Raw genomic sequence first — 25094 nt, 5'->3', positions numbered from 1 at the left:
TAAATAAGCCTCTCTGATAAAGATTAAAAGAAACCTCATTTTTATGTAGTCCTAGATATGGGATCATATTTGATGAAATAATTTGATTATTTCCATTGGAATGAACATTCAGTTTCCGTTGGAATGAACATGACGTTGTCTACCACACCACTCTTCTACTTGGTATCTGTCTGACCTTAGGCAATTTTCTTAAATATTATATCCTCGGCTGGGAGTGGTGGCTCACACCTGTAATCCCAGCACTTTGGGAGGCCGAGGCGGGGCAGATCATGAGGTCAGGAGATGGAGACCATCCTGGTCAACATGGTGAAACCCCATCTCTACTAAAAATACAAAAATTAGCTGGGTGTGGTGGCGCACGCCTGTAATCCCAGCTACTTGGGAGGCTGAGGCAGGAGAATCACTTGAACCTGGGAGGCGGAGATTGCAGTGAGCCGCGATCGCACCACTGCACTCCAGCCTGGGCAACAGAGCGAGACTTCATCTCAAAAAAAAAAGTAATAATTATATCCTTTATGATGATACCATTTTCACACAGTTATTGTTTTTGGTTAGTAGTTACACAAAGTTGTTAATATTCTTTGAAATTTTGTGTTTTTCAGAAATAGCCAGGCAAGCAGCACAAATAAAGCTTTTGAGAAAACTTCAAAAGCAGGAACAGGCTCGGGTTGCTAAAGAAGCCAAAAAACAACAAGGTGAGTGATTTAAATGTAACATAAACTCGAAGAGTCAGTACTGGGGAATTCATAAGAGTTTTCTTTTCTTCATTCCCTTTTTGATGATATCTATCCTTTGGTTTCTTGTAGCAATAATGGCTGCTGAGGAGAAGCGGAAGCAAAAAGAACAGATAAAGATTATGAAACAGCAGGTATGTGTATACATTGGAAGTGACTTTTAAAATATGGGACTTATTTTGAGGATTTGTTAGTAATGTACATTATTTTTGATTTCTTAAATAACTATATTTCACATTAATATTTGTGTCTTATTTAGAAAGTTGCTATCTTCTATTAATTAAAATTTTACCTTTTTAATAAAGTCTTCTACTTCCAAGTGTTTAAAGAAATGATTACCAAACAGTAAATTTGTGTAAGTACTTTAATATCCTGGTAGACTTTGTATAAGTTGATATCTTGAACAATTTTCAGAATTTTTAAATTAATGTATCAGTCAATGAAGTATATTGCTCGAATGTTCAAATTTTAATAAAAGCTTGTTTTTCTTAAACATGTAAAATATTAGTAGAAAATTAAATTCAAGTTATACAAAATAAGATTTGCCTTCATTGCTTCTTAATGCTTTCAGGATTACTTAAAAGTTGCCACTGCAAAAAAAAAAAAAAAAATGATGACAGCATTATTTTAGCAAATCCAGAGTTCTCTGTCTTGTATCTACAATATTTCTCCCCATGTGATTTTCAAAATTAAGTTTAGGTAAGAGAAGTAATTTTTAAATTTTCATAGGTAAAAATTAAGTGAGAAGGTATTCAGCTTCATTTAAGATGAGAATGTGTAAACTACTCTCCCATCTCCTCATATTCATGGTAACATTAAAGCAGAAAGGAAATGGGGAGAAAGTACTATTCTTTTAAAAATATTAGGAAGCATGTAGTTATTTCTGAGAATGAAATGAAATCAATTATGTTACTATATAAATACCTGCTAAATAAATGGCTTGGGTTGGATTTGATGTGGTTATCTCCAAGGTTTCTTCCAGTATTAACTAAAGCAATATGACTAGAGAAGTTGATATAGAGTTGGGATTTAGGATTTAAGTTTGTAGTCAGTCAGCCTACAGTTAAATATGGGCTCTGCTACTTAATAATTTTGTGACCTTAGATGAATGGCTTAACCCTTAAGTCTTTATTTCTTCCATCATAAAAGAAGTTAACTGCAATATCTGAATAAATGAGATAATGAACATAAAGTGCCTACTGCAGTGACTGGCAACAAAACACATGCTCAACTTTTTAAAGATAAATATAAAACATCCAACTACACAGTGTACTCTTTTACCACCATAATTTAAAGTAGCAGTTGTCAACTTGAATTCCATCCTTAGTTTGTTAATTGTGACTGCTAGACATTGTAAGATTGACCTGAAATAGGCTAGTGAATGCATTCGTTAAAATATATTTACTAAAGAGTATATATGAAAAAATAAGTTCATATTTCATTTTTAAGTGAAATACTGTTGTTTCTGTTATACTTTTATTGAAAAAGTTTTATAGCTTATTCTATTTACTAATGGCTGGAGACTCATTAGATCCCATCAGTACTTTTAATTCAGCTTTATGATCCTAAAGTCTTACAGTAGCTACAACCTGAATCCACATGGTCTTTGCTACTCATTGAAAAAGCATTGAGCTCCAAAGTTTCCAGCAATATTAATGCAAATGAACTGGTCTTAATATTTATCAAGATATTTATCTGAGGCCAATCTCAGAATACCATCTCATTTATTTGATTCAACAAAGTGAATCAAAGTATAGAGTAATTCTACTCATACTCTCTGTTATATAGGGTCTATTTTAAAGTCAGCATTTGATCTAGAATAAAATAGTACATGTGTTTTCATCCTTTGGATTATTTTTTCCACCTAGTAGACCAAAAATATCACCAGATAGTCCTTAAGACAATTTTCTGGAAAATTTCAGAAACATTATTACAAAGCAGGAGGCACACAGGCATTGGGATCTGACGAGGACTCTATATTTACTAAGTATTGGACTTTAGACAAAATATTTACTTTCTGAGAACCTCAGTTTTCTCTTATGTAAAAAGAAGATAATTTAAGCTTTTATGATTTTTTAATGATTGACAAGATATTAAATGTAAAGTGACCGGCTCAGTGGCTGAGTACTCAACATTACAAAGTTAACCTGTATTATAATAATTTACCATGTTTATCTGCATGCTAATGATAACACTACCAAATATGTATGGATATATATAAAAGTCACTTGAATACTTAAGATAAAGCTTTAGACTGTGTACGTAAGCCCCAAGATTCCCTGCCTGTCTGTGCATAAGAGAACAACAAGTGACTTTTGCTGGCTTGAAAACATAGCACCTTATAATGTTATAATTGACAAGAGCAGAAAAGTCAGATCAAGAGTATACTTTTCTCAGATATCAAGTTCTAATTCAAATAAATACTTCAAATATGGATCAATCTTTTCTAAGATTTGGAAATTACACAAAAGATACACTTTGGGGTTTTGGGTTTTGTTTTTTGTTTTGTTTTGTTTTTTGTTTGTTTGTTTTTTAGACAGAGTCTCCCTCTGTTGCCCAGGCTGGAATTCAGTGGCACGATCTCTGCTCACTGCAGCCTCCGCCTCCTGGGTTCCAGCAATTCTCCTGCCTCAGCCTCCCAGGTAGCTGGGATTATAGGCATGCACCACCACACCCAGCTAATTTTTTGCATTTTTAGTAGAGATGGGGTTTCACCACCTAGCACTGTTTGTTTCTCGAACTCCTGACCTCAGGTGATCTGCCCGCCTCGGCCTCCCAGAGTGCTAGGATTACAGGTGTGAGCCACAGTACTTGGCCCACTTTGGGGTTTTTATTTTTGACAGCCTACAATTAATATTCAGTACCATGATAAGATCACCAAAATCAAAGAATGTGATCAGTCTTGTAAAATCAAAACAGTAATTCCTAAAATTTCATCATCCTGCAGTAGAATCCTGCAGGGAATCAATAACATCAGTGTACATTAAAAAAATTAAAATGCATATTAATGTATAGCTTCAATAGGTACAACTAGCATCTGGAGATGGGAGCAGGCATTGTGAAATACAGGTGTTGGCACTGGAAATTCTAGGATAAGTACAATTTTCAAGTAGGAAACTTTGAGTTTTCTTTTTTAACTTGTATTTATTCTCATCAGTGCCAATTTGGGACTTTTGAACGGATTAAGGAACATGAAATTGCTAAGAATGTGTTTATAGAATATGAGATAATTTTTTAAGTTAAAATATAAATTTTTATCAAAATTTATATGATCACTAAGTTATAAAACATATCCAATAACCAGTTCATTAAATTTAGACAACGTGTACCCCAATTATGTCCTACAGATAATTCCCTGGAATGTTAAATTATAATTAATTAATTTTAAAATAATGTTACAGGTTATTTCTGAAATGGGCTAATTGTAATTAAAAGCAATGTTATATTATGCTATTCAACATATGAAATAAATTTTAGAATGGAAATTATTGTTAATAATAATGTTACAATTGTGTCACTATATACTTTTTAAAGCATTTTATTTAATTGTGACAAATGAGAAAGGGCAAACACCTCTCACTATTTTATAGAAGAATAGTTATTATTTGCTCAAGACCATTCAATAAATGACTGTAATCCAGAATTGGCTGTATGTTTTCTGACTGCTGATACATGATTTTTCTGCTATTCAGTCCTATATTATTTCAAGTTAAGTATTATTTGTAACTGCAAATATCTATAAAGATCTTCAGGCTATATAGTTTAATCAGCTTGGTTCACTGAGTTTCTGTTTATTTAGCATTTGCATTTTACAAATTACTGTGAGAAACCTTATCAAATCATATTAATTTCAGACATGAAAATATATATGGTTTTACGCTAAATAATGAAATTTTTATGTCCATCCTTTGGTAATTTTGTACTTTTTTTTTTTTATTTTGAGACGGAGTCTCGCTCTGTCGCCCAGGCTGGAGTGCAGTGGCACATCTTGGCTGACTGCAAGCTCCACCTCCTGGGTTCACGCCATTCTCCTGCCTCAGCCTCCCGAGTAGTTGGGACTACAGGTGCCCGCCACCAAGCCCTGCTAATTTTTTTTAAATATTTTTAGTAGAGACGAGGTTTCACTGTGTTAGCCAGGATGGTCTCGATCTCCTGACCTTGTGATCCGCCCACCTTGGCCTCCCAAAGTGCTGGGATTACAGGTGTGAGCCACTGCGCCTGACCTGTACTTATATTTTTAATTATTTGATTCCACTCAAATACTCTTTACTCAGATAGTTTATTTTATTATCTCAAGTTATCATAACTTTTCCTACAGGAAAAAATTAAGAGAATACAGCAAATCAGAATGGAAAAAGAACTTCGAGCTCAGCAAATTCTAGAGGTAGAAGTCTTAAATTTAATATAATTAAAGTAATTTAGCCATATATTTTTAAGTCTGCAAAAATAAATATTTTGCGTGCATGTTTTCTCACACAAATTGTTTGTCAGATATTCTCTTTAAACATTCTGCATAGAATAAAACTTTATCTGAGCCTTATTTAGCAAGCTAATCTAATCCCAACAGTAAAGATATACAAAATGAGGCAAAAGAAACAGGAAAACTTCTGAGCAGTCAGTGGAGTTGTCATAAAGTTCATGCGCTAAAATGTTTTACTTTTATAAAAGTAAACAACAAAAGAAAAATCATTAGGGCTTATAGTCTGATATTTACTTTTAGTTTAGAAACAAATGTTTACAGAAGTAAGATTTCAAAAGTAAAAGTAAATTTTAAATGTGCAAAGTTTTATCAGATTGTTTTTCTGGTTTCTAGCATATCCCTCTTCCCTGCAAGGCTAATTAGAATAGAGATAGAGGACATCTGTTGGCAACAGCAAAAGTAATAGGCAAAAGACAGCAAAGAAAAAATACAGGAAAACTTCAGCTAGCATATATAGGAACTGAAAAGCCTAGCAACAGCCTGTAATCTTTTATTTGAATAGCAAGCAATTTTCAAAACCTTAATAGCCCAAAGGCATTACTCTTTGGAGCTGTGCAGTATAACTGATGTTGAAAATAGTTGCCCTGAGTCATCAAGAAAACGCCAAATTACGTTTAGTGTACTGTGTCTAAGCAGGCATGTCTCAAAATTATTTCCATCTAAAAGAGTGAAAATAAACTTTTCATGTTTAAATTTATTACAACTTCTCCACCATTCCGGAAACTGCTGCTTTATAGAACAGTTTATTCCCTGAGGGCTCCGGATAGCTGAGGTTTTCTCTGTTACAGTTTTATTCCTTCTAGAAACACACACATTTTTTCTTACCCATTTCAAATTAATTTTAAAAACCGGAAATTGAAAATGTTTTTATTTTAAAGTAAACTGACAGTAACTACTAGTTATGAAACTTCTACACAGTTAATGATTTTAAGATTATGAAGCTTATGTTTGATAAATAGCATGGTCTCAATAGATTGTGCCTCATGAAAGATGAGATTACAAGTTTTCATTCTATTAAAAAAAAAACACTTGAACTTAACCACACTATACAGAGATGGGGAAAATCAGACTTAATATGCTTCACTTAATAGACATAAACCAATAATGAATTTCTTTATCTCAAATTTTCAAGTATTAAAAATAAATTTTAAATAAACAGGTTCATTCTCAAATATTACTAATTCTTGAAATAATTTTTATTTATTAATTAAAATCTATTCTGTTTTCTAAATGTTTTACAGTGATTATGTTTTACTTTTAAAATCAGAAAAACAATGTGACATAAAATCACTTTTCTGTGATTAAATTTTAAGGTAAAAGAACATAAACACTCAATTATTTCAGACTTAACAAAGCTTGAAGAAGAAAAGCTGTCATATTCTTATGACTCTAAGAAATTTTTGTGTATTCTAATGCTATTCTATAAATTAGAAACAAAATTATTACGTTAAACATAATGTTAACTGGGGGGAAATCTGTAATTGTCTACATATGTGTTACATACTGTTTCGTACCTTGTGAGACATGTAGCTTCATTTCAAGTCTGACATTATTTGCAAGTTGTAGTGGTGCTGTTGCATGACTTTGAGACCTGTTTTGCATGCACAGGCTAAAAAGAAAAAGAAGGAAGAAGCGGCAAATGCCAAATTATTGGAGGCCGAGAAACGAATAAAGGTTAGTTTAGATGAGAATCAGAGTTTTTATTTTTGAAAAATAAAAACTATATGTTATACTGGCATCAGTTATATGAAAAAATAGCTTTCTTCAAAATGACTATCTGAAAATATGTTTAGCAGATACTACATGTGTATAGTGTATGTTTTTATTTGTATGTATATTGTATGTGTATTTTTATTTTATTATGCAGGGTTTTTTGTAATGCTTTGAGCTGTTTAGGAGACATCAAATCAGAAATGCAAATTGTTGCTTAATACCTGTATGTAGTTTTGCTAGATAAGAATGACCCCCCCCAAAACTGTTTTGTGTGTTATTTATGTTTATGTTTATGTTTATGTTTAGGCATAAACTAGATATGGTATAGGTATGTTTATATTTGAGTCTCAATCTGATTCTCCCCTTTATAACTTTTTCTTTGTTAATATTCAGCAACTGTTTTATCTATTAAAAATGAAAAGCCTACAGAAACAAAAGCCAAACTTCATCAACTGTTATTTACCAATAATAAAATTAGCTGCTTTTAATTATTTTAACTTCATGTATTTGGGGGTGTTTTGTTCTGATTTCCTGGCATGGGGTATAGGAGAGTTGTCCCCTTCCTCCCCTCCCCCACCCTGCCGTCCACCAGTAACTGAATACTGAAAGGGGGTAGCTGGGTGAGCCTACTGGTACTGGAAACAGCCACCACAGTTATACTTTGTAAAGCCAGGGAACTGTTTATTTTTTCTACATAGACTGTCTTACTTTATTTTTTAAATTTCTACCTTTTCATGTCTGCCGTTAATATTAATTTCATCCATATTGTAACTTCATAGAAATACTGAGATCAGTGACATTCCTAGAATGGTTTGCCTTAAGCCCCATCCCCTTGGAATGGTGCCCTGAATTATAGGTGGACATGAAAATTTCACACTGATTGCCTAGTTTTTGTCACTTTAATTCATACGTAGTGTATAGAAATGAAAAAAAAATGATGTTAATTATAGAGTATATTTGAGAGTTTATATTCAGAATGGAGAGAGTTCTAATCAGCTAGATTTGAGGGTTGCACCATAATGTATTAAACTGATTTAAAAATACATGTGTGGGTTATATCTGATAGGCTCTGACCATCTAGCTAGTTGGTTCAATGAATGTGCCATTGAAGTGTGCAGTTAGGTCAGTCATTCGTTAAATTTTAAGTTAAAATGACTACTGAAGAAAGATCCTTGCTACCATATTTACCATATTATATGATCTCTATGTAAGTATTTGTTAGGTAGAAGCATACAAAATCGAATTGACATTTTATAAATAAAAAATAATTGAATATTGGCCATTTCATATGGTTCAACCTAATGAAAAACTATAGAATCTCAGAAAAGGAACTTTTAATACTTTTAGCATGTTCTAAATCTTCTCTAAAAATCACGTATTAAAAGTTTCTTATTTTTAAGGAAAAAGAAATGAGAAGACAACAAGCTGTTCTTCTGAAACATCAGGTCTGTATATGTATAGTTATACAATTGTTGAATGTACATTTTATAATATTGCTTAAACCTATTTGGGGGAAAATCTTCAAAATATTTTCTTTAAAATTTCTGATATAATTTCTGCTTAAGTTTTTCCTTCAACCTACAGTTTATTGCCTTGCTTTGGTATTGGTGTCTTTTTGGGGGGTTAAAAAATTGGTTTTATGACTCTGTGATTTCTGTTTCATAATGTTGTGCCAACTCTTTCTACCAGGAGTTGGAGAGGCATAGACTAGATATGGTATGGGTATGTTTATTTTTGTACATCTAACACCGCATTGTGATTTGGTTGTGATATGGTTGTCATAGCAATGCATAAAGTGTAGCACTGGCTGCTGTCATATTACATACTGCTGCATGGCTTTACAGCACAGTGCATTGCATACATCTGCTTGTCTGTCTATAAAGAAGTATGATGCATCTCCAAGATTTTACATTGAATTGTACAAGCCTTAAATAAGGCTGCTCTCTAAAAATTTACATTACTGATGTCACAAAGAAAGTTGGATCACTATACAATTAGATATAATTATGACCCGTATTCTCCCATCATTCTAGATGCAAAACTGCCATTGAATACAGTGGGAATTTTGAGTTTGTTTGATGAGAGAATATGAAATATATTCTGGTTTCATAGACAAATTTTAGAAATAATTTTAGAAATATCCCTTTGGAGAAACCAAATATGCTTAAACAAAAAAATCGATGAGATATTATAAATAAGTGATTTTTTTATTTTAAAAGTAAAGTGAGAATGTCAAATTAAACTAGTGCTTACCTTATTTTCATACTGTGCCTTTAAGATTCCACCTGTGAGCCCATGGTGCAGCTTTTGTGGCTTTAAATAGAGTATCAGGTGGCAGACATCAGTAAATAGGAATATCCCATTTCATTGGTGGTGTATGTGAAACAAGACTAGTTTAACTAAATTGGTATAAAAGCCTTAAAAAAACTCTAATTTATTGGTGGCTTATTGGATTTGCAAAATGATTTTGTACTGAAAATAACCTACTCTAAAATCATGAAGTTAAAGTGACTATAAATCAATTTCTTCCTGATCTAAAATTTTAAGAACAACACAACCGTTAGTTTAATTGGCCATAGTATTTGTGGTTTTTCTAATAGCAGATGTAAGGTAACTGACCTGTTCCAGCCAACCATTATGCTTTTTGTTCTGCCAGCTTTTGAAGGAGCATCACAACTGACCATAAGTAAATCTTGTATGCTTCTGTTTACACTGTCTCCATGTTCATTGCTTTACCTTTTTGCTTTTGATTGTTGTATTTGCTTTCTAAACCTGAACTAAAACATGCACAGACTGGCCATTCTTGTCTTATATTTAGTATTTACTGTGACTTGTCTATAAATGCTAAACATGCTATACTGAGTTTTTGTTTTGTTTTTGTTTTTGTTTTTTCATTGGAAAATCAAACTGTTAATTGTGGCTGAGTTATTTTCCACATTTTATCTGGCCTAATAGGAACGAGAGCGAAGGCGACAACACATGATGCTTATGAAAGCTATGGAAGCTCGTAAAAAAGCAGAAGTAAGTGTATGTTTCTAGAAAAATATTACCTTATAAAGTAATGCTTTTTCCTAAAGCATTGGCTCTTCTAAATATAAATTTTTCAGAATATAGGTTTGTTGTGATTTACTGGTTTTCATATGCAAACCAAAAGTTTAGAGATAGCAACTGAGTGTTAGAACATAAAAGAATGTAGGAAGAGTTCCAATGTATGTGTTAGTTTTCCTGGCTAAGATTTTAATTGTCTTTTTTTAGTGTAGTAAATAACATTGGTTTAGATAAAAGTAGCTATTTATCACACCAGAGTTTCACAAAACTAGTATTACAGCATGCCTAGACAAATCCTGTATGTCCTAATTCAAACACAAATCATTCCGACCATGGATTTCTGCCCTAAGAATTATTCTTTAGCATTCTCTATGTAAAATTAGGCTAAGTACTTTTCTTAAAATAACTTTTAACAAATAATTCAGAATAAGAAAATTATTGCAGTACAATCAGAATGAGCTTATTTGGAGGTTAATAGAAATCACTTAAAGGTTGAAATAGATATATGTTACAAAGGAATAACATTCTGTATTGAAACAGTTGAATAGAGTCATTATAACTGGGGCTTTGGAGGTTGAAAGACACAGGTTCCCCTGCTGGTTCTGCCACCAATTTGCTTGACATTTTCAAGCCATTTTTTTAAAATTGAGATGATACCTACCTCCTAGGTATGGGATTTTTGAGTGAGATAAGCATTTAATAAGTGAGAATTAATGAAAATGACACTGTTTGATCTAGAAGCTGGGAGGCTGTATTTCAGTATTTTGGTTTCAGCTCTAGCTTAAATTAGCAATATAGGTTTTTGATGTGTAGAGAAAATAGGTGTATTGTTTTGAAACCTGTGCAAAGTAGCCAGATTATCTGAATTTGAATTCTGGTTTCATTACTTTCCAGCTATATGACCTTGGGCATGTTATTTAACTTCTCTGTGATTCATTTCATCTATAAAATGAAGATAATACTGAATTCTGTTTTGTAGGGCTGAAGAGATGAGTAAATGGATATGTGTCTCTGTGTATGTAAAGTTCTTGGAACAGTGCCTGGCACCACATAGTACTTAACCATTGATACTACGTATGTGTAGAATGGGCCTAGCAAGATGCATCCCAGGTTGCGAACTACTGACATAGAGTACCTCTTAGCATAGACTTAACATAGCATGTAACATATATTACAACAATCACTTTCTGTGACGTTTCCTAAAGGTTATGGAAGTTTTACTCCAACACTTTTCCTGCTGTCTTTTTTTCCCTAACCTTTTGATTACCCAGGCCTATTGACACCCTCTATACCTAACATAATAATTGAATCTATACATCTGTGCGTGGAATTGTAACCATAATCTCTGAAAAATGACAGTCAGGGAAAGAGAGAGGTAACGTATTCCAGGAATTGGCATGGCTGCTCTCTATTCGCTTATGGAAACAGTACAGTGAAGGGAAGAGTAAGGAAGGGGACTAATTAAAAGCCTGAACACTGAACCTAATTCTCTCAATCTGGAGAGATGGAAATGGAGGGAGCAATTAGTAGCTCAGGGAAAAGACCTAGAAAATCCCTCAGGAGACAAGTTCTTCCCTACCAATCATGGGTTTTGTTTTGTTTTTTTTTTTAATCAGAAGGAATAAAAAGAACCAGGGCTTGCCATTCTGGTTTTTCTTGGCAGGGAGGAAAGCTAACTAAAATAACCCAGAACGTTATCTTTAGGCATACTAGGCTTCATTAGAAGAGAAGATCCAGTAAAATAGTAAGAATGAGATCATCTGAGAGGGGGAATGCCCAGGTGAAAGAGGCACCCCAAAGGCCTCAGAGACATGAACCCTCCCGCTGGTTTTTCATATTTGCCCACTAGGGCCTGGGGAGAGTGGGGGAAGCTGCTGCAGAGAGGTGAAGGAGATCTGGGTTGAGTGGAGGGTGGTAGCCACAGGATAAATACAGCTGATGAAAATGAGATATTCTAAGAATCCATCAAAGCCCAAGAGCACCTCTCAAGAGGAAAAGGATATACTCTTGACTAAATAGAGTGAGTCCGCTACAGTTCTTCCAATAAAACTGAGAGATACCAGAAACCTGGTATAGCTCTCCCTCTCCTACCTACCTTTGTCCTAAGCAAAAAGAAACAGAAGTAGAATACAGAATACTCATGGGCAAATCTGAATTACTTTTAAGTCTAAAAACAGGTAGCAGATAAAGGGAGAAGAGCTGAAGGAAAATTAACCCACCTATATTGGAGCAATACAAGTTATTAATAGGGCTGGACATATTAAGCATAAATACTTTGAAAAGAAATGGCAGGGCAACTGTGTTAAAATATTAAACCAAAATAAAGCCAATAAGTGCATATGTACATAAAGTAATGACTTAAATCCTAATAGCTGAAAGAGCGAGCCTGGTTTCTCTGTTCTCATTATTGCTTTCCTCAGCACTCCCTATGCATTCTCTACAGAGCAGCCAAAGTGATCTTTTCAAAAAGTAAACCAGATCATATCCTGACACTATCCAGGGGCCTCTCATTGCAATTACGATAAAATTCAGACTCCTCACCATGGCATTTTCCCACTGACCTCTGCCTCTCACTCCAGTTTTACTTCATACAATTTGTCCCTTATGCACTATATTCTGATCATTTTTGTCTTGTTATTATTCCTGAATGAACGGTCTGTACTATTGCTGTTTTTCCACCAAATATTCACATGGTTCCTATTTGTTGTTCAGTCATCAGTCAAATGTTAACTTTTCAAAAAAGCCTTTAGATAATTTTTAAATTTCTAAATGTAATTAAATATTCTTAATAAATGTATTTAATTCCACTTTTGGATTACAGGTTTATAAATACTCTTGACTGAAAATGGAAGATAGCAATTATGTTTGCCCACAGAGTAAAATATTAAAAGTGAAGAAGAAATTGCCTATTGAATTCGTTTAATAACCAGTTCAAAATGTTACCTTAATTTTAGTTTGTGTCATTTGAAGAATTAATCATTCAGCAAATTTATAAATGCTCAAATAATTTTTATATGCCATGGCATACCGCATGTATCTATTACAGTCATATCACTACTGTAGTCAGAAGTAAGAACAATACTTAGACTATGGAGACCAGTGGGAGAGGAAAGTTGGACTGATACAGGCTCAAGAGTCAAAGAGAAAGATAAACTCATTAAAAACTTTCTCCAGGTGTCCAGGGGGGAAATTGAATAGGTCCATGAAGAAACAGGTGAATAAGTTAGTTCCTCTGCCCTCTAGAAGAGGCTTATACTTGAGTGAGAGAGATCAACTTTAAACAAATAATTGCTACACAGTGCAACAAATGCTATAATAAGTTATATGGAAGCTCAAAAACAAGAAGTACTACCATGTCTGAAGTAGTTGTGGGAACGATAAAAAAAAAACAGGCTTTATACAGACTTCTTGTGAAGGAGGAGGAACTAGGCATTCTAGACAGTAGGTATGGCATATACAAAGGTACAGTATTGTGACTAAACAAGACCTGGGGGTGGGGGTACAAAGAGGGTATTAGCCATTTTAACCTAGTGTACATGCCCGTCTTGGCTTTGTTGTTGCTTCATCGTCATTAATCATCCAAGCAGTAACTTCAAAGGGGCTATGCTGTCTTCTCCACACAGGTGTGTCATACAGTGAGGCTGGAACATGAGAAATCCACTGTGAATTGTGAGATGTGAGACAAGCGCTTGTGTGGGGCTAGATTGTGACTGGCTTTATATGCCATTATAAATATTAGTTGGTGGTTGAGGGGACCTTGGAAGCTCTGGCTCTTTCAGAGTTAACTTGTACCATAACCACAGAATTTGTATTAGTTCTATACAATTCATGCTGAATTGAGAGACTCCACATTTCCATTAAAGTATGCCTAATAGTAGACAGTAATAAATGCTTGTCTTTAACTGATAAAGGTCACACCGATTTCTCTAATTTTTTGGAAATCTCCATTTTATCATAAATATCGATATGACTTTTGCATTCTATTCCATATTTTACTTTTTCAAGTGGAAAAAAGTATTGCATGTCACCAGCTAAAATTGATACTCCAAGAATATAATCCATATTTATCTTATGGCATTCAGTGCACTCTATCTAGCTTGTCCGTGTGTCTATTGAGTATGTATGTACCTCCAGGATTGCTACCAGTGGGAAGTTGGCACAGTGAAAAGAGCATCAGTGTCACATGGATTTTCTCTCTTTTTAAGAAGTAATAGCAACCATTTTTAACAACTTTAGTAACTAGTAGTCTCAATTATGATGTTTATAATTGCTGTTATGGACATCATTAATAGATCTGGATTAGCTCTGTGTAAAGCCATGTGTCACTTAACGATGACAATACATTCTGAGAAGTGTGTCATTAATCAGTTTCATCATTGTGCAGACATCATAGAGTGACATGCCCAAACCTTAGATGGTATATAGACTGCTACACATCTGGGCTATATGGCATAGACACTGTAGTACATGCAATTCTTTAGTGACAAACATCACGTGGCATAGAAGTGCAGCAAAAAATTTTACAGTATCTACTTTCAAATCAGTAAGAGATATTTAATATGCTTTTTTCTATTAGTGATGCTAATTCATTACTCTGGTGAGGAACCAAAAACTTAAATCTTCCCTCCTTTGGAAAGTTCTTAGAGCAACAGTTCATGGGTTTAAGAATCGAAATTTCAGTTCTAGGGGAAAAAAGTTATTCTACCGGTGACTCTGCTGCCCTTTTGTAAGGGCTAGTAATAATAGTACTTCAGGCTATTAACTAATAATTTGATTTGAAAATCAAACCCTCAGAAACTGCTTTTTGGTTTATAATTGGTAAAATTAATTATAGAACTTTGCTGGTGTCAACAATCTTATAAGCTTCCTTATAGTTTGTCCTCCCAGAATGTCTGCATGAATCAGTAACCCAGAAATTCAGAGGCAGTATAAAAATGAACAGTAACTTGTGCATGTCATATAAAAAGGCCCTTAGGATCTGGCCTCTGGCTATCATAATATTCAGCAACTATTCAACTTGCAGCCTACACTCCAGTCTTGAAACTGCTAGCAATTTTTCAAACACACTGTACTTTCTCTACTCTCTGATCCCATGTTCTTCTCCACTCCTCTCTTTCTCCCTCTTGGCCTTCCCTCCAGCAGCAGTCAGGGTGCTTGCTTACAAGTGATAATCGAAATGGAGATGATTAGAATATGGGCAAAAATAGTAATATAGTACAGAAAGCAATGACTGCTGTGTTAAAATCAGAGTTAAGAGCTATGAAACATAATAGAAATTGGTAGTGTTTAATTAGGATTTAAATATGCAAGATGGGAAAAATGAAGATCTTGATTGGAGTGAACCAGTATAAGCAGCTGAGGAAATAAATGTTCATCAGGAATAGAAAATTCTAAACCTACACAGAAAAAAATATGAGAGGTAAGATTAGAAAAGAAGAGTCTGGAATTCAAAAGTAAGGACTTGGACCTTATTTTGATAGAAAATCAAAAGACTTTTAATCAAGGAAGAGATATAATCAGCCTTACAAAAGTAAACCAATTAGCAATGTGTGGCACGTGTGCGGTAGTAGGTTAGAACTGACTGATGATTCTACTGTTATTTCTCCCCTAAATAAATGAGAGCTATATTTGAGATATGATGAAAAAGTAACGATAATGGTATTATAGAAAATCACTTGCTCCAACAAAGTCATTCCCTACAACAGAGAGACAAGTCAGTTATTTCCATATTGTTGCCATTACCAAAACATTCTTAATGCTTTTGACATTGCCTTCACAACTGATTTTACATTCTCTTAAGTGTTGTTTATGGTGGTGAATAATATTTTTCTTTCCTCACAGGTGCTGTCTTAAGACTAGCTAATTCACTTTGAAAGAACTACTTGTGCAAATTCAAACATGTTACTTCCACTTTCCTGCTGTAAATCATTTGCTTGCTGGAGCCACACTAAAATTTGTGCTAATAACTTTATTTAATAAGATATGTAGTTGCCCATGTTCATTTTATGTACCTGCTTGTATTAATAAGTATTTTATTCTTATAACTTGGCAAATGATTGAACAAATTTTGAATAACAAAATAGTCTAGGTCAAATCTAATATTGATATTAAATATATACAGTCATAAGATTATTTTGAAAATTAGAGAGTAAGATTAATGAAAAGCAAAATAATTCAATGTTGCTACATAATTCTAAGTTTATTCCAACATATATAATGATTAAGAAGAATATGTGTACATGGTTTTCTTTTTAAGGAAAAAGAGCGGTTGAAACAAGAAAAACGTGATGAGAAAAGATTAAATAAAGAGCGTAAACTAGAGCAGCGAAGATTAGAATTAGAAATGGCAAAGGAACTAAAGAAGCCTAATGAAGACATGTGCTTAGCAGACCAAAAGGTAATTTATACGTCATGTACACCATTTCATTCATAAGTTTAATTTTTCCAGTTTTCTTACCTGATTTCTTTGCCAGAGCTGCTATTGTGAAAGCCTTTCATTTTTAACTATAGCAGTGAATTTCCAACTCTAGGTCAATTTGCCTTTCCTAGATAGCTAGAAGTAAACCTCTCTGGAGCTCTTGTGCTGGTAATGGCGGTTTTTTTGTTTGTTTGTTTGGTTGGTTGGTTGGTTGGTTGGTTGGTTGGTTGTTTTCAGACAGGGTCTTACTCTGTCATTTAGGCTGGAGAGAGGGCAGTGGCAGGATTATAGCTCACTGAAGCCTCAACTTCTCGTTCCCAGGCTCAAGTGGTCCTCTCACCTCAGTCTTCTGAGTTGCTGGGACCACAGGCGCTTGCCACCATGCCTGGCTAGTTTTTTGGGTTTTTGTTATTTTAATTTTTTGTAGCGGCAGACTCTTATGTTGTCCTGGCTGGTCTTGAACTCCTGGGCTCAAGTGATACAGCCACCTCAGCCTCCCAAAGTTCTGGGATTCCAGGCACAGAAAAATCTCAACTCCTCCCCACATCCCTATGGATATTTAAATAAATGAGGATTTATAATCTGTGACCTCCTTCAGTGCTTTAGGTGGCAAACCTTTATTGAACATGTTTACTACATGCTAGGACTGTGCTAAGCACTTATTTGAATTTTCTCATTTAATCCTCAATACAATCTTGTGGAGTTAGTATTTCTTCCCATTTATACATGAGAAAACTGAGACACAAAGAGGTTAAGGAACTTGCCCAAGATTACACAACTAATAAATGGCGATTTGGATTCAAACTCCAGTTTGTTAAACTCCAGAGCCTATACTGTTTATCATCCTGAAAGCCAAGAAACTGTGTCCAACCAAAGCACCTCATATGTGTTTTGTCTTCCATAGTGCTTCACAGACATGTAATGTTGCTGAAATACATAAAAGTATAAATTTAGAAACATTGCTGTAATCTTGGCAACCAGCATAATTTCATATACTTTTGAGTAAAAATCAATGATGTTTTGACTATAGTTAAGAAGATGGTACTTCTAGAAAAATATCAATAATGCATTTCATCTCTATATTATTATACTTAATTAGTAGGATATGTATTTACTTATATGCAATATTCAAATGATTTGCAAATAATGATTATCTCTTGATTTATGTAAGCTCTTTTTTTATTTTATTTTATTATTATTATACTTTAAGTTTTAGGGTACATGTGCACAATGTGCAGGTTAGTTACATATGTATACATGTGCCCTGCTGGTGTGCTGCACCCATTAACTCAATTATGTAAGCTCTTTTCTAAAGTGCTTAAAGAAAACTTTTAGTACTCTAGAATGGATTGAACTATATTAATATTCTATTTATTTACTTAGCATAAATGCTTCTAAATAAAAATGAGAGTATACTTACTAGTTGTAGTCATTTGGATATTTAAATTTTCCTAAGCAGAGAATGGGTATATAAATTAGTTAACACATTTAATAAGCTCATAGTGATCAAGCTTTTTAAATCCTAAGTGAGCTTCATTTTCTTGTATCTTTTATTTTCATTTAAATTCATATGTACTATATCAAATATGTAAGTCCATTTTAAGCCATATTTTTAATAGCTCAGCTTTGCTACATAAATTTTTAGAATTACATAGAAATGTATATGTTTCCTGTGGTTCAAGAAAAAGGGAGAATGAGAATTAACTGGCTTTCAAGAAGAATATAAAATATTTGTATGAGATGAGCTATTATCTATAGTTTTGTGTTTCCACACAGTATTAACAGAAAAAGTCTTCAATTGGTTACCTCAATAAATGCAGAGTGGAGAAATATTTTTGAACAAGGACCAATTCAGATAAATAGAAATATTTATGTCACTTTTTTTCCAATTAAAATTTAAAGTACTTTTTTAGGCTCTCATTAACAGGCAAAATGTTTTTAATTCAGATTACCTATTTATTGAAATTTTAAAATGTTGATGACAACTGGTACTGCAATTAAGTCATTAAAATGTTAATATGTGAGCATATTTGAGAAATAACAACAGAGATAGCTAATTTTAATACTGAAGCTAATACTTGCCTAAATACAGGGAAACCTAAAGACCTTTAGTTGCATTATAACTGGGTTTATGTACAGGGTCATGGATTCTAGTTATGTGGACCTAGTTATTTATCTGCATTCATTAGCCATAGATGGTACCACTTTCTCCAACCATAGAGCCCACAGATGCATGCTGTTTGTTTCTAAGCTACAAAAAAAGTGTGATTTTTAAATGTCATCATCATTAGAAGAAATTGGTGCACATGCCCCTATAAGTATGTCCATGGTAAAGTACTTTTGAAATGTTTATATTTTATTTAATTTTTGCTCCAGTTATATAATCCATGTTTTGTTAATATGGATATGTCAGTTGATTGAATATGCAAGTTGATTAAAATTAATGTCTCTTTTGCAAAGATCTAAGTTCATAATTGAGTTCAACCAAAATTTATTAATGGTTGCTTACTTGTATGAAGATACTTCAAGACACTATGCTTAGTTCCATGGGGGTTACAGAAATGCCCCCAGAGAATTTAGCATCCCAAAGGAAGCTACTGGTACAATACAAGAGGGGAAAAAAGGTAGCAGCTTATTTTACTTTAGAAGATACGAAATCATGGCTTTTAAAAAATTAAGCTGTTTTTATTTTATTTGTATTTCATTTTATTTTCAGCCTTTGCCAGAGTTGCCTCGTATTCCAGGACTTGTTCTCTCTGGAAGTACATTTTCAGACTGTCTCATGGTGGTGCAGTTCTTACGAAACTTTGGTAAAGTTTTGGGCTTTGATGTGAATATTGATGTTCCAAACCTGAGTGTTCTTCAAGAGGGATTGCTAAATATAGGGGACAGCATGGGTGAAGTACAAGACTTGCTTGTGAGGCTCCTCTCAGCTGCTGTATGTGATCCAGGTCTAATAACAGGATACAAGGTAAAAAAAAACAAAATATAAAATGTTTTAAATTTGTACTGTCAGTGCATTGGTAGATAGCTTTAGCATATTAGCAGAAGATTATATAGATTGATCTAATTTTTCCACATAATGTCTCACAAAGTTAACTGTAGATTTGTGTCAGGTTACACTTCATACAAAGAAAACCTGGTTATAAAGCTTAAGGAATGTAGACCATTCTCAAGTTATTCTTTTTTCCTCTAGCTGTAGGCAAAGACCAAGGTGATTTAAGGAAATCCTTAAGCGATATTCATCAACAACAGAATTCATAATTCATAAGGCAACTAGAACTTGTATGTGCCTTCTGATATTATACCTTGTTCTCTCTCAATCACTGTGAATAACTGAAGCTAATCAAGGCACCTACAGACCAGCACGTTAAGACCCTGTGCTGCTCAGTGGATCCTCAATAAGTTCATGTTTATCTTAATTCCAAATACAGTATACATTCCAGGGAGCTTTGCTCTAGATAATATTGTGGAGAGAGAACCTCCCAGATGCACCTGTTTTTCTTCTATCTCCCTCAGTGTTTCCCTATTTATTATCCCCAGCCAGTAAAACCTATAACACTTTAAGGGTAGAAAACAATACTGTTTTTTAACCTCCCCACTCTGTCATTCCTGATAAAATATCCAGATGAAACTTGGGGAAAGGTTGGTGTCGCTTTTATAGTCATGGAAGGCTTGATAGGTAATTTAAAACTTCTGCTACCCATGAATTTGCATACTCTTCTCCCTGCCTGACTTGGAACCAAGGATTTGAAGCGGGGAAAGAAAGAAACAAATACTTGAATATTTGTCTGTCTTCTATTGACTATTTTTGTGTCTCTTTCATTAAAAAAAAAGTGAATAAAGCTCTTGTCAGTAGTATCTAAATCAAATAATATGAGGATTTTTAATCTTATTGTTTTTATGGTATAAATGGTTGTGAGTAATACTGATAAAAATGCCAAACTTTTATAGGCTAAAACAGCTCTTGGAGAACATTTGCTGAATGTTGGTGTGAATCGAGACAATGTTTCCGAGATTTTACAGATATTTATGGAAGCCCACTGTGGACAAACTGAGCTTACTGAAAGTCTGAAGACCAAAGCTTTTCAGGCTCACACTCCAGCACAGAAAGCTTCAGTCCTGGCTTTCCTGATCAATGAACTGGCATGCAGCAAGAGTGTGGTCAGGTGAGCATATGCCCAGGCTTTTCCGTGATTTTTCCATTTTGAATTTTTCTAATCAAAAAGTAATACAAATTGATTATAGAAAATTGGAAAGTTACAGACTAGCACAAAGAAGAAAATTAAAATTGTACTTATCTCAGTATTTAGAGATGGCCACTAATAATATTTTCATGTATTTCTTTGTAGTGTATTGAAAAAAAATTTGGATTATACTGTGTGTCTGTAATACGTGGTCTTTGTCACCTGTTTTGTTTAATAATTCTGTTAATTCTTTATACATAACTTTTTTTATATTTTTAGTTGCTATGGTACCAGAATGTGGTACCACCACAAGAATACAGAATTTTTTTTTCCTTCACGTCTTTTAAGGACAGATGACTACCTGATTTTGCTTAGTAGCCATTCACAGAATTACGTAGCCACTTTTTATTTTGTTGTATGCTAATAGAACCATAGAGTATTTATTTATCAGTGTATTAATTTATACTTTTTTAAAGCATTTGATCCTATTTAAAAGTCAGAGTTCTCACTCTAGTACTTGTTACTAGTAAAATACTAATACCAACATGTACTCTAGTATTCAGGATTTCTGAACAAATTCATGTTCATCTTGTCCTTGTTATTCATTATTTTACAGATTTTTAACAACTTTTAGTCCTTTACCTTTCTAGAAAAAGGATCAATCCAAATATTCGGGGTCATGCATTTCTACCAGTGTGGAAATTTTAAGTTTTCTGTACCTATCTTAGCTATGATATTGTATTAATGTAATTTTTTGTTTGTTTCTGCTATTCACTGACAGTCATCCTAAAAAATATAATAATATTCACGTCTTACAATTTTATGAAAGAATAATTTCATTTAAGCATGAGCATGATAACAAATAGTAATGCTAAGTGGCACTTATTCAAAACACATACACCCAAATTCAATGTAAATGGTACACTATGGTTTTTGCCTTAGAAGGGAAAAAGCATCCCTATTTGACTTTACTGGTAAAGTAAAACAGAATGGTAAAGAATATCATAATATTCTTAGTTACTGTTTGGTTGTTTATATATATACACTTAGTGTATATGCATATGTATGTATGTGCACTTATGTAAATATCCATGTGTGTTCTGGTATCCTGCTTTGATTTTGGAAATTATCACATCTTAAAATACCTGCAACAAAACTTGGAATATTGTCTTTCTAAGGCAATTGATGCATAGTTTCTTTCTTGGTTTAAGATAGAAACCACAGTGAATTTTCTAATACTAATGTTGTATCCATTGAAGAAGTTATCACTTTTCAACATCTGTGTATACATATATAAACACATACATATATGAACGTGTATATGCATGAGGTCAGTTGTATCATTTTTACTTATTCAAAAATGCATTAATTTACGTATCAAGTTTATTGCATATCAAATTAATGCATTGCATAAATTGATTAATTTACACTTTTTAATAAATTCTTGCATTGGCAGTGAAATCGACAAGAACATTGATTATATGTCAAACTTGAGGAGAGATAAATGGGTGGTAGAAGGTAAACTCCGCAAGTAAGTCCTGTTTTATTAAAGTTAATGTACTGTTTTCTTTTTCTACAAATTCCCAGTAAAGCATATGAATTGCAAAGATAGAATTTAAACTTTTATTGTCTAAAGAAAAGATAATGCTCAATTTAGATGGGATATAAAATTAATAAAACTCAGGGGCAGAATTTGCAATGGACAAAAGATATAATGAGATTCATTGAGCTTATATTCTTCATACTTAGAAGAAAGTCATTTTCTCTTTTTCTTTTAAACAAGTCAAGCAATTACATTTTCTAAGATTGTGGTTGCTATTAAGTTGCTTTTATCACAAACAGAATGTTTGGAACTGTAACTTGTTTTCTTAATTGCTTTCTAATTAAAATTTGCTTTTACGGAATCTAGCTAAACTTATTCAGCATTAAAACTTAATTATCTTCCTGCCAGAAAATATCAGGCAGAAATTACTCCTATGTTAAGAGGTTAGTTTCTTTGTAGTAATTTGAATTGAAATTTATTCAGTCAGTTAGTATGGGATCAGAAATTATTACTCAGCCATTGTTAGAATTCTTCTTTTCAACTTTCATCATTTTTTTTAATGAGTCTAATTCCAAAGAGATATCTAGAATAACTCTTGAAAGTGAATGCATCCTGTAATTTATGGAAACATTTCTTAAGTTTCCTAATTCTAATTTTTTTTAACATTGGTATATCGCTTAACACAAAAGAAATGCCATAAGGTATTTTTGCATACAACTCATGTTTTGCTCTTTTAAAAGTATATTGAGAAGTCTTTTTTTCCTTGTCATCACTTTTCATAATATTTAAAGGCTCAGAATCATTCATGCTAAGAAAACAGGCAAAAGAGACACTTCAGGTGGCATTGATCTGGGAGAAGAGCAGCATCCCTTGGGCACACCCACTCCAGGACGCAAGCGAAGAAGGAAGGGAGGAGACAGTGATTATGACGATGATGATGACGATGACAGTGATGACCAAGGGGATGAAGATGATGAGGATGAAGAAGATAAAGAAGACAAAAAAGGAAAAAAGACTGATATCTGTGAAGATGAGGTAATGAAATTTAGGTTGATTTTAAGACAACTAGAACTGCATAACATATTTTTAAAAACAGAATTTGGAGTCAGATGGATTCGGATTTGAATTCAGTTTTGACATTTACTTGCCTCAGTTTCCTCATCTGAAAAACAAATATTACAATCTGTATCCCATAAAGATTTTTGTGATGGTTATGTAAATATCTTGTAGAATGTCTATACATAAAAGACACTAAGACTGAATAAAAGAAGTTTTTTTAATATAATTTCTTGAGAATTCTCCAAAGAGATATGCAGATTTTTAATTTCAGGTATTTTGTTTCATTCTGTTAACATACTGTGTTACATTTGTACAGCGCTTCATGCCTTTAAAAGTGTTGTCAGGTTTAGTGAAAATAATGTATTCCTCAAACACCAATTACTATTTCTCTAGTTCTAGGTATTTTTAATCAAAGACGAATAAGGCACTGAAAGTCCCATCTCAATTTACAGTCTCACTGAGAAGGATTTGCAAAAAGAAAACATAATGTGATAACTGCTTTGAGAGGGGTATTGACAATGTGCTAGGCAGATACAACTTAAGAGCATTTAGACTTTCTGAGTAATAAACTCCCACAAAGAGTTTCTGGACCCATCAGCTCAGGCTATAAGCTGAGCTGAACATTAACCTGGGTAAAGGTCTAGGGAAGAGTGTTCCAGGCAGAGAGAAATGCATGACCAAGGGCACAGAAGCAGGAAACCACAATGTGCTTTAAGGGGATTGCAAGTGCTTCAGTGTTACTGGAGTCTCATATGCAACAATGATGAACTAGGATCTTTTGCTTTTTTAGTGGCAGGAAGCCACTGAAGGGTTATAATCAGAGAATGGCATGGTCAGCATTAATTTTTAAGTTACTCACTCTGGCAGCTGTGAGAAAGACACAAAAGGTGGGGCAACATCAGAAGTGCAGAGATCAGTCAGGAGATACTGCAATGGTTTAGATGAGTTGTGAGGGGTAGAAACTAGAGCAATGGTAGTTGGGATGAGGGAGGAAATGATTTAATAAATATTTAGGAGGAAGAATGGGCAGGACTTGAAGATGGAAGGTAGACTATGTAGGTTGTTAGAGTGGTAGGATTGATTTCCAGCAGTCTGGTTTGGAAGACTTCATGCTATTGTTGCCATTAACTAAAATAGGGAAATCAGGAACAGAGTAAGTAGATAATTGGGGGCAGGGGGAGGTAAAGGAACAGATAATTGAAGACAGGAAATGATTATTTATTTTTGGACTTGCTGAGTTTGAGGTACCCATGTATAGGAGCTTAGCAGTCAGTTAGATTTAGGAATCTGAGGCCTGAAGAAGAGTTTGCTCTTAGAAATATAGATCTGGGTGTTATTATCAGGTAGATGATAATTTAAAATCATGAGGTAATAAGATTACAGAGGGGGATTGGTTTAGTGAATAGAGTAGTGGACTGAGGTTGGAACCTCAGGGAACATCAGTATTTAATAGGAGCCCACAAGGCTCCTTGTTCAAGAAGCAAGAGCAGAGAGGTTAGAGATTTCTGTGAGTTGGGGGTCCCCAAGACCACCTTCAGGTTCAGTGATTCACTAGGATGATTCACAGAACTCGGCATATACTTGTGCTTATAGCAATGAATTACTACAGTAAAAGGAAACAAAGCAAAATCAGCAAAGAGTATATGGGCAAAGTCCAGAGGAAACCAGATACAAGCTTCCAAGAGTCATCTCCCAGCAGAGTCACACAGGACAGGCTTAATTCACTCAACAACATACATGAAATGTTATCTACCAGGGAAGCTCATTAGAGACTCAGTGTCCAGGTTTTTACTGGGGGCTGGTACCTGTAGGTACCCTCTGCATAGCATGTGCCAAAATATCAGATTCCCTGAAGAAAAGCAGGTATTCAGCATAATCCACATTGTTAGCGCAAATAGTTCAGGTCCATATT

General features: G+C 33.8%; 1 protein-coding gene across 49 annotated transcripts in view; it reads left to right on the top strand.

Moving 5' to 3' along the window:
• Positions 1-25094, top strand: part of BAZ2B (bromodomain adjacent to zinc finger domain 2B) — a 397131-nt gene that overhangs the window by 306726 nt on the left and 65311 nt on the right. For 29 of the 49 annotated variants that reach the window (XM_047444047.1, XM_047444046.1, XM_047444040.1 and 26 more), the window contains 12 exons: positions 603-695; positions 807-868; positions 5053-5118; positions 6823-6888; positions 8328-8372; positions 8617-8649; positions 9883-9948; positions 16232-16372; positions 19110-19364; positions 20348-20562; positions 22037-22111; positions 22915-23158. In XM_047444047.1, coding sequence (XP_047300003.1) covers positions 603-695; positions 807-868; positions 5053-5118; positions 6823-6888; positions 8328-8372; positions 8617-8649; positions 9883-9948; positions 16232-16372; positions 19110-19364; positions 20348-20562; positions 22037-22111; positions 22915-23158 — 1361 coding nt within the window. The remainder of the gene's footprint in view (positions 1-602; positions 696-806; positions 869-5052; positions 5119-6822; positions 6889-8327; positions 8373-8616; positions 8650-9882; positions 9949-16231; positions 16373-19109; positions 19365-20347; positions 20563-22036; positions 22112-22914; positions 23159-25094) is intronic. The other 20 variants (XM_047444050.1, XM_047444060.1, XM_017003930.2 and 17 more) reach the window with 2 other exon arrangements.

This window comes from Homo sapiens, chromosome 2 (genome assembly GCF_000001405.40).
Source record: "Homo sapiens chromosome 2, GRCh38.p14 Primary Assembly".
Classification (NCBI taxonomy): Eukaryota; Metazoa; Chordata; class Mammalia; order Primates; family Hominidae; genus Homo; species Homo sapiens.
Note: the sequence above shows the minus strand (reverse complement) of the source record. Positions and strands in the feature narration are given on the sequence as shown.